The following is a 15,001-nucleotide window of genomic DNA, read 5'->3' on the forward strand; positions in this document are numbered from 1 at the left end:
CCTGACAATGTAATCTCATCAAGACTTAAGAGCTTCCTTTCCTTCCTCTTCCATCTTTCCCTGCCTCGCTTCCCTAGATGATAGAGCTAGATGATAGAGCTAGACTACCCTTCCATAGCCAGACACCAGAGCTAGATGATAGAGCTAGACCACCCTTCCATAGCCAGACACCCTCCTCACTTCCTCCCTCCAACACTTGCCCACAGGCACACCTAGAATCCTCAAGACCACTCAAGTGGCTTCCTGGTACCACTCTTGCTAGACCAAAGAAAATGGTAAGATGTGGAGGGAATTATGCACTCGATTCTTCATATCTTCGATAGTGTTAAATGGTCCATATGCTTTCTTATAGCTGGGGGCACATGCATTTACACAAACACATGCACACACACAAAACACCCTTACATAAGTGTGTGCTGGGGGAAAGCTATGCAACTCTGAGGCTCCAACCACTTTTTGTGTACTTTTCACAATTGCCCAGCAGATGGCAGCAAAGTGTCCTGAGGAACTACTTTTTCTGTATAATTCAGCCCTATGTGGCAGTGTAAAGCTAGAGGCTAAATTGTCCCTCTAGATATATAACAGAGCATAGACAGGAGAGGCATTCTGTTCAGTTTCATCTGTGGCCCGAAGACAAGAGATGACACAGAATTGTGCCAAGGGGCAGGACAGAAGGAGGAGTCAGCCCCCGGAGCAGGTAATTATTCAGGTAGAATTTAGATCTTTTTCGTTGTTGTTGCTCCTGAGAGCAGTATTCTGTTACCAATACTGTTTAGAATTGTTTAAAAATGGATGCTAAAAAGCATATGGCAGTTTGTTATTGTTGTAAAATTTTCTACAGACCATGCTTCTCCTCATTGTCTGCACCTGAAGAGACCACACCCACCACCCGTTCTTGTTTTGCCATAGAGATGACAATCGCTCCTAATTTACACAATAAAACCCCATTCACCCAAGTAGAAATTAAGAAAAAAGAGCCAAACATGGTTTTCTCAACCAGATTATAAAACATTAAAGATTGAGTAAAAGAGTAAGAAATTGAGTAAGACTGAAGGAAGAGGATTTCATTAGAAACAGAATGTCATTTGGAAACTGTACTGGAGAATTTCGTTAGAAGGACATTGTTGATGTTTTGTGTGGTTTCCTCCCTCCTGTCACTATAGGAGAAGGAAGGAGGAACCTCCCCCTCATCTCCAGCTCAGAGAGAGAGGCTGGAATGGGACCGCATGGGGATCATGTTGTAGATCCTCTGCAGTTTAGGGAAAATGAGAAACTTGAGTCCAACACACCAGGAGAAACCAAAGAATGCTAAGACCTGGACTGTCTACTCTATAGCCAGTGTTTTTATCTATTGCTATATAATAAATCACCCAAACGTAGAGGTTTAACACAGCACACCTGTTACCTCACAGGTCGGGACTCTGGGCATGACTTAACTGAGTTCTTTGCTTCAAGGTCTCACCAAGTTCCATTTAAGGTATTGGCAGGGATGAGGCCTCAAATGAGGTTTGACTAGAGAAGGATCCACTTCCAAGCTTACAATGTTATTGCTAGAATTCAGTTCCTTGCAGTTGTAGGATAAATGGTCTCATTTCTTGCCAGGTGTTGGCTCGAGGTCTTTGTAGGATATTGGCTAGAGACCACTCTCAATTCCTAAGGGCTGCTTATACTCTCTTACCATATCAAGACTGCAACATGACAAATTGGTTTCTCAAGGCCAACAATGGTGAGAATGAGACACCAGTAAGACAGAGTTTACAGTCTTCTGTGACATGATCATATAATCACATACCCAAAATCACATACATCCTGTCACCTTTGCAGGATTCTGGTTATTCAAAGCAAGTCACAGATCCTGCCTATATTTACAGGGAAATAACTACAAAAGGGCATGAAGACCAAGAGGCAGGAATCATCTAGCCACCCTAGAGTGGCTCTCATGGTGGCACAATTAAGCAAGAGGAGTAGATTGTGTGGGGGTGGTCTGCACTTCCACCTGTATGCTGTGTGAAAGAGATTCTACATGGATGGTCTTAGAGCTTGCTCTGAAAAGAAATCAGGAGGGAGCAAGGAGACCTTGAAGAGAATGAGGCTGGAGATTTTCTGATGGACATCCAGGGACAGGACATAGGATAATCGTCAGCTGCCAGCTAAGTCCATGAGGATACTGAGAGGAAGCCCAGCCAAGGAATCCCAGTGATGGAACCACAGATGCATTCAACATCCACCAGCCTGCATAGCACTGACATCGAGTTGGGAAACGGCCAATCGAGAGAGACTTTTTCTGTTCCTCTCTCCTCATTCCTGCCCCTGACTCTGTGAGGATCAGGAATCCCTCTTAGCAATCCTCAGGGTGAAGAGTTAGAGAAGAAATAGCACTGACCCCCACTTTACATGTCAGCTGCCCTGCCTAAAGCAGGCCAAACTGAGGAAAAGAAGAAATTTTAATATGAATGACAGTTGGATTTTGATTTTTGCATAAATCTATATTTTAATTACTAAAGTGACTGAGGAACTCTTCTATTAGCTGACAGTAGTAACATCTTAGATTTCAAACAAGCAGCAGGGGAGAGCTAGCCCTACTGAGGATCTTAGAAAGAACAGTTGTGGGGCCAGGCACGGTGGCTCATGCCTGTAATCCCAGCACTTTGGGAGGCCGTGGCGGACGAATCGCCTGAGTTCAGGAGTTCGTGATCAGCCTGGCCAACATGGTGAAACCCTGTCTTTACTAAAAATAAAAAAATTAGCTGGGCATGGTAGTAGGCGCGTGTAATCCCAGCTACTCAGAAGGCTGAGGCAGGAGAATCACCAGGCTGGTCTCAAACTCCTGACCTCAGGTGATCTACCCACCTCGGCCTCCCAAAGTGCTGGGATTATAAACATGAGCCACCTCACCCACCCTGAAACTGCTTTTTTGTGCTGAGTCAGTTCCTAGGTGGGGGCCACAAGATCAGATGAGCCAGTTTATTGATCTGGGTGGTGCCAGCTAATCCATCGGGGTCTGCAAAATATCTCAAGCACTGCTCTTAGGAGCAGTTTAGGAAGGGTCAGAATCTTGTAGCCTCCAGCTGCATGACTCCTAAACCATAATTTCTAATCTTGTGTCTAATGTTAGTCCTACAAAAGTAATCTAGTCCCCAGGCAAGAAAGAGGTCTGCTTTGGGAAAGGGCTGTTACTGTCTTTGTTTAAACTGTAAACTATAAACTAAGTTTCTCCCAAAGTTAGTTCAGCCTACTCCCAGGAATGAACAAGGACAGCTTGGAGGTTAGAAGCAAAATGGAGTCAGTTAAGTTAAATGTCTTTCACTGTCTCAGTCATAATTTTGCAAAGGCGGTTTCATATCGGATTCAGTGATGAAAAGATTTTATCTGAACACCACTTAAAGAGGAAGGCATTTTGTATCAATAAAATAATTTTTCAAAAAAAAATTTTTTTTTTTTTGAGACGGAGTCTCGCTGTGTCGCCCAAGCTGGAGTGTAGTGGCGCGGTCTCGGCTTACTGCAAGCTCCGCCTCCCGGGTTCAGGCCATTCTCCTGCCTCAGCCTCCAGAGTAGCTGGGACTAAAGGCACCCGCCACCGTGCCCGGCTAATTTTTTGTGTGTGTTTTTAGTAGAGACGGGGTTTCACCCATGTTAGCCAGGATGGAATTTTTTTAAATTTTAACCAACATTATTTTTAAAATTTTAACCAACGTTAATAATCTAAATACCCTGACTTGATCATTACACATTCTATGCATGTAACAAAATATTATATATACCCCATAAATATGTACAAAGATCATGTATCAATTAAAAAGAATCTCAAATCACATGTGTATTGGGTCAGATGTTGGTAAAATCTGAATCCCATTTTCTGACAAGATCTTACACTTGTGTTAAAGAACAAATTAAAGATCACTAGAGCTATAAATAGAATATAAATTGAAAAGCTGAGTTTATGTGTTTGTGTATGTGCCCAGTAAGGAAAGAGCCCCGTGGCTCTTTCCCTGTGGGGAAATTCATTAAGTATTCACCAGCTGGGGGAAATTCAGGGGTTTTTTCAAACTGAATAGAAAGAGGTTTCATAATAGTTATGCAAATTGAAGACTGAAGACTAGCAGTCTTCAGTCTTTAGGCTGGGAAAGTGAGTTGTTTAAAACAAGTCCTGTTGTTTATAATCACTTACCAGTTTCGGTCAACTGAATCAGCTGCAGTGAGAAAAAACATTCAGTTTTGATTTGTTTCCTAAAAATATTTTCCTTTTATACTCAAAATTAGTTGCTAACCAAAATTAAAGAAAAAACTTGAGCAATACATTTTGTTTTCTAAATGCCACTAAAATTTTATATGATATAGGAGTGTGTGTATGTGTAAAAATGAAAAATAAAATGTTTCCAAATGCGTTTTAGTAATATCAACAAAAAGATGGCAAAGTTGTTTCATTCCCATTCTCTGCTACCATCTGGTTTAAGAAAATACTTAGAAATTTGTTCAAGTCATAAAGGTATCATTTTGAGAGACAGGACTAGCTGGATTTCCTAGGCCAACTAAGAATTCCTAAGCCTAGCTGGAGAAGGTGACGGTACCCACCTTTAAACACAGGTCTTGTAACTCAGCTCATACACGACCAATCAGGTAGTAAAGAGGGCTCACTAAAATACAAATTAGGCTAACAGCAGGAAGTAAAGAAATAGTCAAATCATATATTGCCTGAGAGCACAGTGGGAGGGACAATGATCGGGATATAAACCCAGGCATTCGAGCAGGGAGCGGCAACCCCCTTTGAGTCCCCTCCCTTGTAAGGGAGCTCTGTTTTCATTCTATTAAATCTTGCAACTGATTGCTCTTCTGGTCCGTGTTTGTTCTGGCTGGAGCAGAGCTATCGCTTGCGTCCACCACTGCAGTTTGCCGCCGTCGCAGAACCACCGCTGACTTCTACCCCTCCGGATCTGGCAGGGTGTCCCCTGCGCTCCTGATCCAGCGAGGCGCCCATTGCCCCTAAAGGCTCGCTATTGTTCCTGCACGGCTAAGTGCCCGGGTTCGTCCTAATCAGGCTGAACACTAGTCACCAGGTTCCACAGTTCTCTTCCGTCATCCACGGCTTCCAATAGAGCTATAACACTCACAGCATGGCCCAAGCTTCCATTCCTTGGAATCCGTGAGGCCAAGAACCCCAGGTCAGAGAACAAAAGGCTTGCTGCCATCTTTGGAGCAGCCCACCACCATCTTGGGAGCTCTAAGAACAAATATTTTCAGATAAATCTTTGAGTAAGTTCACAATTGGGTTATCTGAAATATGCAAGGAATCCTGTTCACCAAGATAAATCCACACACTCCAATAGAAATTATCTTGCAAATTCAATGTCGATAGTTGACATGGTTAGGCATGGTGTCCCCATCCAAATCTCATCTTGAATTGTAATCCCCAAGTGTTTAGGGAGAGACCTAGTGGGAGGTGATTAGATTATGGGGACAGTTTCCCCTATGCCCATTCTTGTGATCATGAGTGAATTCTCATAAGATCTGATGGTTTTCTAAGCAGTAGTTTTTCCTGCACTCTCACACACTGTCTCCTGCCACCATGTGAAGAAGTCCCTTGCTTCCCCTTTGCCTTCCGCCATGATTGTGTTGTAAATTTCCTGAGGCTTCCCCAGCCACGTGGAACTATGGGTCAATTAAACCTCTTTCCTTTATAAATTACACAGTCTCAGGTATTTCTTTAGAGCAGTGTGAAAACAGAGTAATATAATAGTCAACATAATTTGTCTTTTTATTATCTGATCTCCCCATTTTTCTTATAAAAGAATGATTACTTTATTGAGAAGTGGGACTCTGCACAATTAAGAGATGATATTTCCCAGCCTTCTTTGTATATAAAAATGGCAGTGTGACATAGCTCTCGCTAATGAGACCTAAGAAGAATTTTGCTGGAATTTGTGGGAATGGGCTAATTTCTTATTTAGGCATAGCCCTTCCTCTCCCTTCTACTGCTCTCCTCTCACCACCGTCCTTCTTTTCCTTCTTGTTCTTCATAGTCTTTCAAAAGAAAAGGCAAATAGAAAGCTGACAATGGATTATCCAACTTGTTACCATACAGCTCCCATGGAGATGAAAGCTCACCTTATGGAGAACTGAGCACAAAAACCTGAGAATCTGAAAACACTGATGATACTGAAATGGCCATTGCAAAATTCTGGCTGAGAGCATTATTACAGTGAAAGAGATCTGACCTAACCAACTTCACCTTGCTTCTAACCTCCAAGCCATCCTTGTTCATTCCTGGGCCTAGGCCAAACTAACTTTGGGAGGAACTTAATTTACAGTTTGAAACAAAGACAATATCTCCTTTCCAAAACAAGACCCCTTCCTGCCTGGGGTCTAGACTGCCTTTGTAGGAGTAACCAATTAGCCACACAATTAGAAATTATGGTTTAGGAGTCATATAGCTGGAGGCTGCGAAGTTCTCACCCTCCCCAGTCGCTCCTGGGGATAACATCACTATTGTAAAACCTAAGATCAGTGCTTCGGATATTTTGCAGACCCTGCAATTGATGGATCAGCTGGTACCACCCACATTAATAAACTGGCTCATCTGGGTCCTGTGGCCCCCACTCAGAAACTGACTAAGTGCAAGAGGGCAGCTTTGATTCCCTGTGATTTTATCTTCGACCCAAGCAATCAGCACTCCCAACTCACTGGCCCCTTACTCACCAAATTATCCTTAAAAAACCTAATCCCTGAATCTTTGGGGAGACTGATTTGAGTAATAATAAAAGTCTAGAGGGTCTCCCATAGAGTCAGCTGTGCATGAATTAAACTCTCTCTATGGCAATTCCCCTGTCTTGATAAACTGGCTCTGTCTAGGAACTGGGCAGAGAGAACCCACTGAGCGGTTACAATATCGTAGGTCTTGTTAATTAGCTCTAGACAGTTTCCCTAGACTTCTTGAAAAAGCCTGCATTTCTAACTGGTGAAGCTTTGGCATTAAGGAATGCAATCTCAAATTGATATACTAATCTAGGTATTTTTAGAAATAATGTAATTGTACAAATGAGCAAATAAACTTCAAGTTATTCTAATATTAAAAGTGAGGTTAAAATTGTTTTCACTAATAATTACCTCAGTCACCTTTCCCCACCATTTAGAATGCACCATTTGTTTAATGCTATAGCTGGGATTACCTTAAAAATCTCCTGGTTTTATTGATTTCTAGTATTTAATGGGTGAAGAAATTAATCTACAGAAAGCCATAGTGACTCACCCAGATTTATGATTCAGACTTAGAGTTTATAAGTCCAAGACCAACATTGTTTCTTATATGCTGTGTTGCCTACAGGGGTCCATAGTACCTGTTCTCTACCATTTATTGTCAATACTCAGCAGAACTATTAATACCTCAGGGAAGCAAGATTAGTAAATAATGGAATATGTATCAGCATTGCAAACATGAGCTATTTCATGAAGGCCAGGGTGAGAGCATTTCATCAGCTTGGATTCTCAAGGTCTCATAAATGCTTTAATTTGTAACTGCATCAACATGTCTTATGGTGATGCTGGACATCAGTGTAACACAGACATAGACAATTACCTTCAAATCCAATTATCGGGGAAGCCAAAGGTTTACCTAGGAAATATTACCTTTGCCAGGACTAGGAACGTCTCAGTTTGTTTTTGTGAAGCCTTCGTGATTGGCACAATATGAGTTTAAAGTATGGAGAACCGGATTCGGTTTCTAGCTTGTACAATTAACAGCTGTGTAAACAATGACTCACTCAAGAATTTTGTCAGCAGAGTATTATTTGTATTGGGTTTTGTTTGTGGGGATTGTTTTGTTTGCATATATATTTGTGTATTTTATGTGGTTTTGAGGGGCATGGGGGTTCTGCTCATCTCTGTGTGTCTACCCAGGTCTCTAGTAGTCACTTTAGCCCAGATAGATTCTTTAGCCATTAACTAAATATTGGCTTCCTAGTTTTTCACTACACATACAATAACGTACGGTAATCAGATGTGTGACTTTGCCATGTGTACATACTTCCAGAACTGCCAGTTCAAAATAAACAGACCCTCCTTGACATGGAGAATCCACATAATGTCACAGGAATGACTCACATACCTTCCAGGAAGATATGTGAGTAAAAGAAGCTCTTCTATGCTGTGGATAGTGAGCAGAGCTATAAAGAATTAAGGCTATAGAACCTATAATTTAATAAGATTTTTTTTTCTGAGTTTTCCCTGGTGGAATAAACAAAGGGAAAATGCATTTTTGTCTACCTTGGGAGGGAAAGTAACATGATTGTGAAGTCTCTTAGATTTAATGCAGCTTTGTTTGATTTCTAGATATTTCTAAGAGTTTGTTAACATTTGTAATAATAGGCACCAGAAACTTCTATGGGAAAAAAGGGAAAACGTGAACAAAAAAAGGAACTATGGCATTTTCACTGAGGAAGTAAAGCGTGATCTGGAGAAATAAAAAACAGACAAACACATATTGGTCCCAGGCCAGTTTTAAGAAACCCTTTTATACTAAGCCCTTTTTAACAGAAAGTGTTAATAGTATTCAATTTTTTTAAAAAAAGAAGGAGAACTCATAAAATTCACTTAGCTCTCCTAATTACGGCAAATTATTGGAACAAATTGTTTTGTTAAATTCAATCAGTCTTAGGTCTTAGAGACGCTACAAATGGGATTATCTTATGGACAAATGTGACAGAAATGGGATGGGAACTTGAAGAATATAATGATTTCTGAGGATCAGGAAAGTGGAATTAAGTCCTTCTGATTTCGAGAAATTACTGGGCAATAGTGCAGATCAGCTGCTGTTGGGAGATAGAAATCATTGCAATTTTAATAGGCTAAGATCAGTGGTAGTGCAAAGGAGGGCATAGGATGAAGCAAACTTTATAGATATAAAATGCAAACCTATAAAATGGCCAGGATGTCATATTGGAGATAAAGACACCTTTGGGAGACTGTACTAGAGAGGATTAGCAAGGCACCTGTTGTGGTTACACACAATCCCAGTGTCTTCTAAACCCCAGTTTAAAAGACAGTTATCTGACCTCTCTCCAAGTTTATTACAGACTAAAGAATCACAGTTGCCTGTAAATATGTCTATGTTTGAGGAATTGAATGACTATCACTAAGAGATGGGATTCGAATTTATTGGAGCTTCCAAGAGTCTTTACAAGAATGGCAAGAATGTTGCAGGGGCCCAGGGCCGGGCACGGTGGCTCATGCCTGTAATCCAGCACTTTGGGAGGCTGAGGCGGACGTATCACGAGGTCAAGAGATCGAGACCATTCTGGCCAACATGGTGAAACCCCGTCTCTACCAAAAATACAAAAAATTAGCTGAGCGTAGTGGCATGCACCTGTAGTCCCAGTTCAGGAGGCTGGAGCAGGAGAATCACTTGAACTCGGGAGGCAGAGGTTGCAGTGAGTCGAGGAGCCAAGATCATACCACTGCACTCCAGCCTGGCGACAGAGTGAGACTCCGTCTCAAAAAAAAAAAAAAAAAAAAAAAAAAGAACATTGCAGGGGCCAAGGGTATAGCTTCCCTTTTGCCCTCTGAAGTTTCGCTGAAAAGTCAACTTGTAAAAGTCAGATTAATTGAGAAAAGGCATACAAATTATTCAACACATAGACATGAGGGCCTTCAGAATGAAGACCCAAAAAATATAGGGGAAAGTATCCATTTGTATGCTTAGGTTCAACGAAGTAAGGACAGCCCTGTAGAAATATGACTGGATATAATCTATGCTAATAGGCTTAGTTAGAACCGAGCAAGACCCGTCTGTCTAGGTTTTTCTTGGCCTCTCTGTGCTGCATTCCTTCATTTTGGTTGTAGGACAGGACCATCTCTGGAATGGGCATCTTATGACCTACAGTCAAACAAGATAGCTCAGATGATTTCTTTATGACCAGTTTTACACAGATAGAGTGGAAGGAGAGTTAGAGTAACACTTTTAGGTTTTAAGGCTGGCTGTGGCAAGAGGGGTGTCTGGTTTCTATGACCCACCTTGGGGAGGGATTCTTGTTTGTACAGCTAGCCTCAAAGGAAGATAGGACTGAGAGACAGGAAAGGAAGTCAGAGAAAAACTTTTGCTTCTGAGGTATTGTTTTGGGGTATTGTTTTCTGAGCCCCTAAATACATAATAGGTATCTTTGTCTTTGCCCTTTTTATTGTTCTTTTCCTCCTTTTTTCTCTTATGTGCCACTGTCACCATTCTCAGGTGGGCTTTCGAGAATGAATGTGCAAAATTCATGATTAGGGTCAACCACATCTCCATAGCTATGGGCCTTACAAGCATTAACTGTCTATCATTTGCATCTTCAGACTGATATTCAGAACAGTTTCAGGATTCTCACACTAGCCTAGAGAACAATTTTTTAAATAATTCCATCAACATATTGATATGGGAGAGGGGCAGGGAAGTGCTAAGTAGAGAAGGGCAGGGTCCCTGGCGAGGTTCCACCCTCGGCCTTTGCCCACAAACCCAGGTGAGGACAGGCACTCCTGTTTTCATGCCAAATGTTGCATTTCCAAGCCAGCCATGCCCCTCCTCCTGTGCCTATAAAAACCCTGATACCCTAGTGGGTATACACACACAAGTGGCTGGATGTCAAGAGGAACACACTGGCAGAAGAACACACCAACAGTTGCTGGCAGACCATCGATGGCAGAACAAAGCAGATACCAAAGGAAATTCAGCTGAGGGTGGTTGGAGGAGAGCCAGGCTGCTGAGCAGCCCTACTCCAGAGAAGACCACCTTCCCACTCCATCCCCGTTCTGGCTCCCTGTCCATCTGTTGATAACTACTATCACCACTCAATAAAACCTTGCACTCACTCTCCAAGCCCACATATGATCTGATTTTTCTGGGACACTTGGGCAAGAACCCTGGGATACAGAAAGCCCTCTGTCCTTGCGATAAGGTAGAGGGTCTAACTGAGCTCATTAAAGCAAGGTGCCTGCGGACGGCTAAGCTGAAAGAGCACATTGTAACATACACCCATTTGGGCTTCGGGAGCTGTAAACACTCAACCCTAGATGCTGCCATGGAGTCGGAGCCCACGCTCCCCATGACCTGCCCGTCTGCATGCTTCCCTTAGGGGTTTGAGCTGCGGGGCACCAAAGAAGTGAGCCACACCCCCATCACGCACCCTGCAAGGGGGATAAGGGAAAACTCCCCTCGTTTCAATATGTTAAAGCTTATTCACCCCATGAGAGCCATTTGGTTGGTAGGCTATTAATTATTGCCTCAATTTCAGAGCCTGTTATTGGTCTATTCAGGGATTCAACTTCTTCCTGGTTTAGTCTTGGGAGGGTGCATGTGTCCAGGAATTTATCCATTTCTTCTAGATTTTCTAGTTTATTTGTGTAGAGGTGTTTATAGTATTTTCTGATGGTAGTTTGTATTTCTGTGGGATTGGTGGTGATATTCCCTTTATCATTTTTTATTGCTTCTATTTGATTCTTCTCTCTTTTCTTCTTTATTAGTCTTGCTAGCAGTCTATCAATTTTGTTGATCTTTTCAGAAAACCAGCTCCTGGATTCATTAATTTTTTGAAGAGTTTTTTGTGTCTCTATCTCCTTCAGTTCTGCTCTGATCTTAGTTATTTCTTGCCTTCTGCTAGCTTTTGAATGTGTTTGCTCTTGCTTCTCTAGTTCTTTTAATTGTGATGTTAGGGTGTCAATTTTAGATCTTTCCTGCTTTCTCTTGTGGGTATTTAGTGCTATAAATTTCCCTCTACACACTGCTTTAAATGTGTCCCAGAGATTCTGGTATGTTGTGTCTTTGTTCTCGTTGGTTTCAAAGAACATCTTTATTTCTGCCTTCATTTCTTTATGTACGCAGTAGTCATTCAGGAGCAGGTTGTTCAGTTTCCATGTAGTTGAGTGGTTTTGAGTCAGTTTCTTAATCCTGAGTAAAATGCTATTCTTAACATCAGTTCTGTTCCATTGGTCTATTCACCTTGTTACTAGGCTTATTACTAGGACTATGTAGTATGCTTCCTCACTGTTCTATTTGAACATTCTAGGAGAATGAAAACACCATAGAGGAAGGTGGTTTTTTCTGTTCTGTCCATTGATGCAATCCAAGCACCTAGAACACAGCCTGGCACAGAAGAAGCACTCAAACTGTGGTATTTCAATGAAAAGTGAGGAATATTTTTCATGTGGAATTTTTTAAAGGAATGTTGTGCCCTACACCTTTTCAGTAAGGAGATTTTCTGTGAAGTACTACGCGAGGCCTGCTGTGTGCATGGCGAGATCAGCAGAGGCAGAGACCAAGAGAGGCAGAAACCTGGCAGAGCTGCTGAGGATGGTGTAGAAAGAGACTCCCCCATGCTTAGTCATCCCATCATGCCCATTGTCATGTGTAGCCTCCAGTTATACAAAGCTAGAGATGCTCAGCCTCATCCCCATTTGAGATAATTGCATTCTTTTGCCCTATTCATCATCACTGAATGGTGAGTCCCAGCAATTCTGATATCAAGAGCACCAGGAAATAACCATTTGTTTGTATTTCACTTGGAAGGTAGGGTCTCACACCAGGTTTGGGGATTTACTGTTCAAGTCCAGATGACCAGTAAAGCAAGTTCCTGGAAGTAATAATATAGCAGTTAAGAGCACAGTCCCAGCCAGGCACAGTGGCTCACGCCTGTAATCCCAGCACTTTGGGAGGCTGAGGCGAGCAGATCACGAGGTCAGGAGTCGAGACCATCCTGGCTAACACAGTGAAACCCCGTCTCTACTAAAAATATAAAAAATTAAACAGGCGTTGTGGCGGGCGCCTGTAGTCCCGGCTACTTGGGAGGCTGAGGCAGGAGGATGGCGTGACCCCGGGAGGCGGAGCTTGCAGTGAGCAGAGATCCCGCCACTGCACCCCAGCCTGAGTAACAGAGCAAGACTCCGTCAAAAAAAAAAAAAAAAAAAACGATCACAGAGCACAGTCCCTGAATTAAGATTACCTGGATTCAAATCTAGACTTCATTACTTTCTAGGGTGTGTGACAGGGTAAGTTACTTAACCTCTCTGTAATTTAGGTTATCAGCCAAAAGACAGAAACCTTCTGTTATTTTAGCAGAGAATACTTGCTAGAAAGAGTCATTACCTGTGTATTAAAGAACTGCAAAGGCATAAAGAAAACACTGAAATAATACAGACATAGAAACTGCATGAATCAGCCACAGCCCAGTCACTACTAACTCCCTAAGCAATCCCTGGCCTTTAGTTTCCCCACCTGTAAAATGCTGAAGTTGGGGGGAAAAATCGTTTCACTTTCATTCCGGTGGCGTGATACGAGATTCTAAGAAACAGGGAGAAAATTCCGTGAGTGGAGCCAATAACCAAGTCAAACATCAGGGGGGTCTATGAACACTGCTCCAAGGAATCTCTCTCTGGATAACCAGACCTTGTGCCCTAGCCCCAGCCCGTCATCTCCACTGCTAGAGAAAAAAAATACAGTTAGTCTGTCCAAGGCTGTTAGAGTCCTCCAACATATAAGACGCATTTCCATTTTACTAGCTTCATGGTCTGCTTGGGGTGGGGATGGCGGGGAGATCGTATCCTTGAAGTAGGCACTAGGACTGTGAGTCACTTGCCTGTCTAGAGCACCAGGACTGTTTGCAAAGGGCTGAGGAGATTTCCATCAATGGAAAAGAGCATGAATTTAGAGTAAACATAGATTACACTTAGAGATCAGAGATCAATCTAGAGATAAAATACACTTTTCTCTAAAGGGGGTGGGAGAAGATGTTGGACAAGAAATACCAGATTTTCTTAATGGTTCATTTATGTCAGGCTCTATGGTGGGGACTTTTATGTTATTTGACTTAATCCTCACAACAATTCTGAAAAATCTTTTTTCAAATTTTATGAGAAAGTGAACTGGATATTTAACTGATTTTCTCACGAATTCCTTCTGAGGCTCAGAAGTGTGAAAGAAGCCCAAATGACCAAGGTTCTTTAACAATTTGGTCAAAACAGGTCATAGACCCAGAGGAAGGTCTGGATCCTGGAAGTTTTCTTAAGCAAAGACAGTGCTTGTTGTGGATATGAAGATGTTGACTAAGCTGGGCACAGTGGCTCACACCTGTAATCCCAGCTTTGGGAGGCCAAGGCAGGTGGATCACCTGAGATCAGGAGTTCGAGACCAGCCTGACCAACATGGTGAAATCCTGTCTCTAGTAAAAATACAAAAATTAGACAGGCATGGTGGTGGGCACCCATAGTCCCAGCTACTGGGGAGGCTGAGGCAGGAGAATCACTTGAACCTGGGAGGTGGAGGTTACAGTGAGCTGAGACTGCACCATTGCACTCCAGCCTGAGCAACAAGAGCAAAAAACTCCATCTCAAAAAAAAAAAAAGATGTTGACCAAATGGCAGACTCTTGCCATGAAGCAAGCCCAGACCTCAGTGCCAAGAGATGTGAATTAGATTCCTGCCTCTTCCACAGACTAGACATGTGACTGGGGGCAGATTCCTTCAGCAATATCACCTCATTTGGAGAAGAACTGGACTAAAATACCCTCCAAGTAGTTTATGAGTTATTTAAATCTCCCAGGCTTAGGTTTGCTCCTCTCTTAGGGGATAGCCTTGCCACCCTTCAGGAAATGGAGACTGTATATGGAGCATGTTGTGCCGCCAGCTGCTGCATGTCCCAGAGCCATCTTAAACCCTACCCTTCTGAACAATGGCTAGTCTACAAGAAGCCTTAAAAGGGATGTGAAAGTGGCAACAGTGTCCCCTCAACAACAAATACTTCCCCAAATATGAGCTTGTGTGGAGCCTGATGACTCTGCCTCTGAGGCCAATCCACTGGCATCTTTCCCAAGATGTGCCTGGACTTCCCTGAGCATGAGGCCAAAGATGGAGAATGGAAACACCCAAAAGAAGTAACAAGGAGACACGGAATTTTCCACAGGTTGCTTTCAGCTTACCAAGAGCCTGGAAAGTGAGAGAATAGATTCTCCAAAATTCAAAACTAACATTACTATTATCAATATTTATT

At 42.5% G+C, this 15,001-nt stretch overlaps 4 annotated features.

Moving 5' to 3' along the window:
• Positions 547 to 626: an enhancer, noted in NCBI's record as "active region_4765". NCBI's record gives its function as "activates an Ori minimal core promoter by ATAC-STARR-seq in GM12878 lymphoblastoid cells {active_cell/tissue: GM12878}" and the evidence as "EXISTENCE:reporter gene assay evidence [ECO:0000049][PMID:35858748]".
• Positions 717 to 816: an enhancer, noted in NCBI's record as "active region_4766". NCBI's record gives its function as "activates an Ori minimal core promoter by ATAC-STARR-seq in GM12878 lymphoblastoid cells {active_cell/tissue: GM12878}" and the evidence as "EXISTENCE:reporter gene assay evidence [ECO:0000049][PMID:35858748]".
• Positions 4,438 to 4,944: an enhancer, noted in NCBI's record as "H3K27ac-H3K4me1 hESC enhancer chr11:60135080-60135586 (GRCh37/hg19 assembly coordinates)". NCBI's record gives its function as "activates a minimal SCP1, AML or CMV promoter by ChIP-STARR-seq in naive H9 embryonic stem cells {active_cell/tissue: H9 hESC(naive)}" and the evidence as "EXISTENCE:reporter gene assay evidence [ECO:0000049][PMID:30033119]".
• Positions 14,395 to 14,634: an enhancer, noted in NCBI's record as "active region_4767". NCBI's record gives its function as "activates an Ori minimal core promoter by ATAC-STARR-seq in GM12878 lymphoblastoid cells {active_cell/tissue: GM12878}" and the evidence as "EXISTENCE:reporter gene assay evidence [ECO:0000049][PMID:35858748]".

The sequence above is a fragment of the Homo sapiens genome, chromosome 11 (assembly GCF_000001405.40).
Source record: "Homo sapiens chromosome 11, GRCh38.p14 Primary Assembly".
Lineage (NCBI taxonomy): Eukaryota > Metazoa > Chordata > Mammalia > Primates > Hominidae > Homo > Homo sapiens.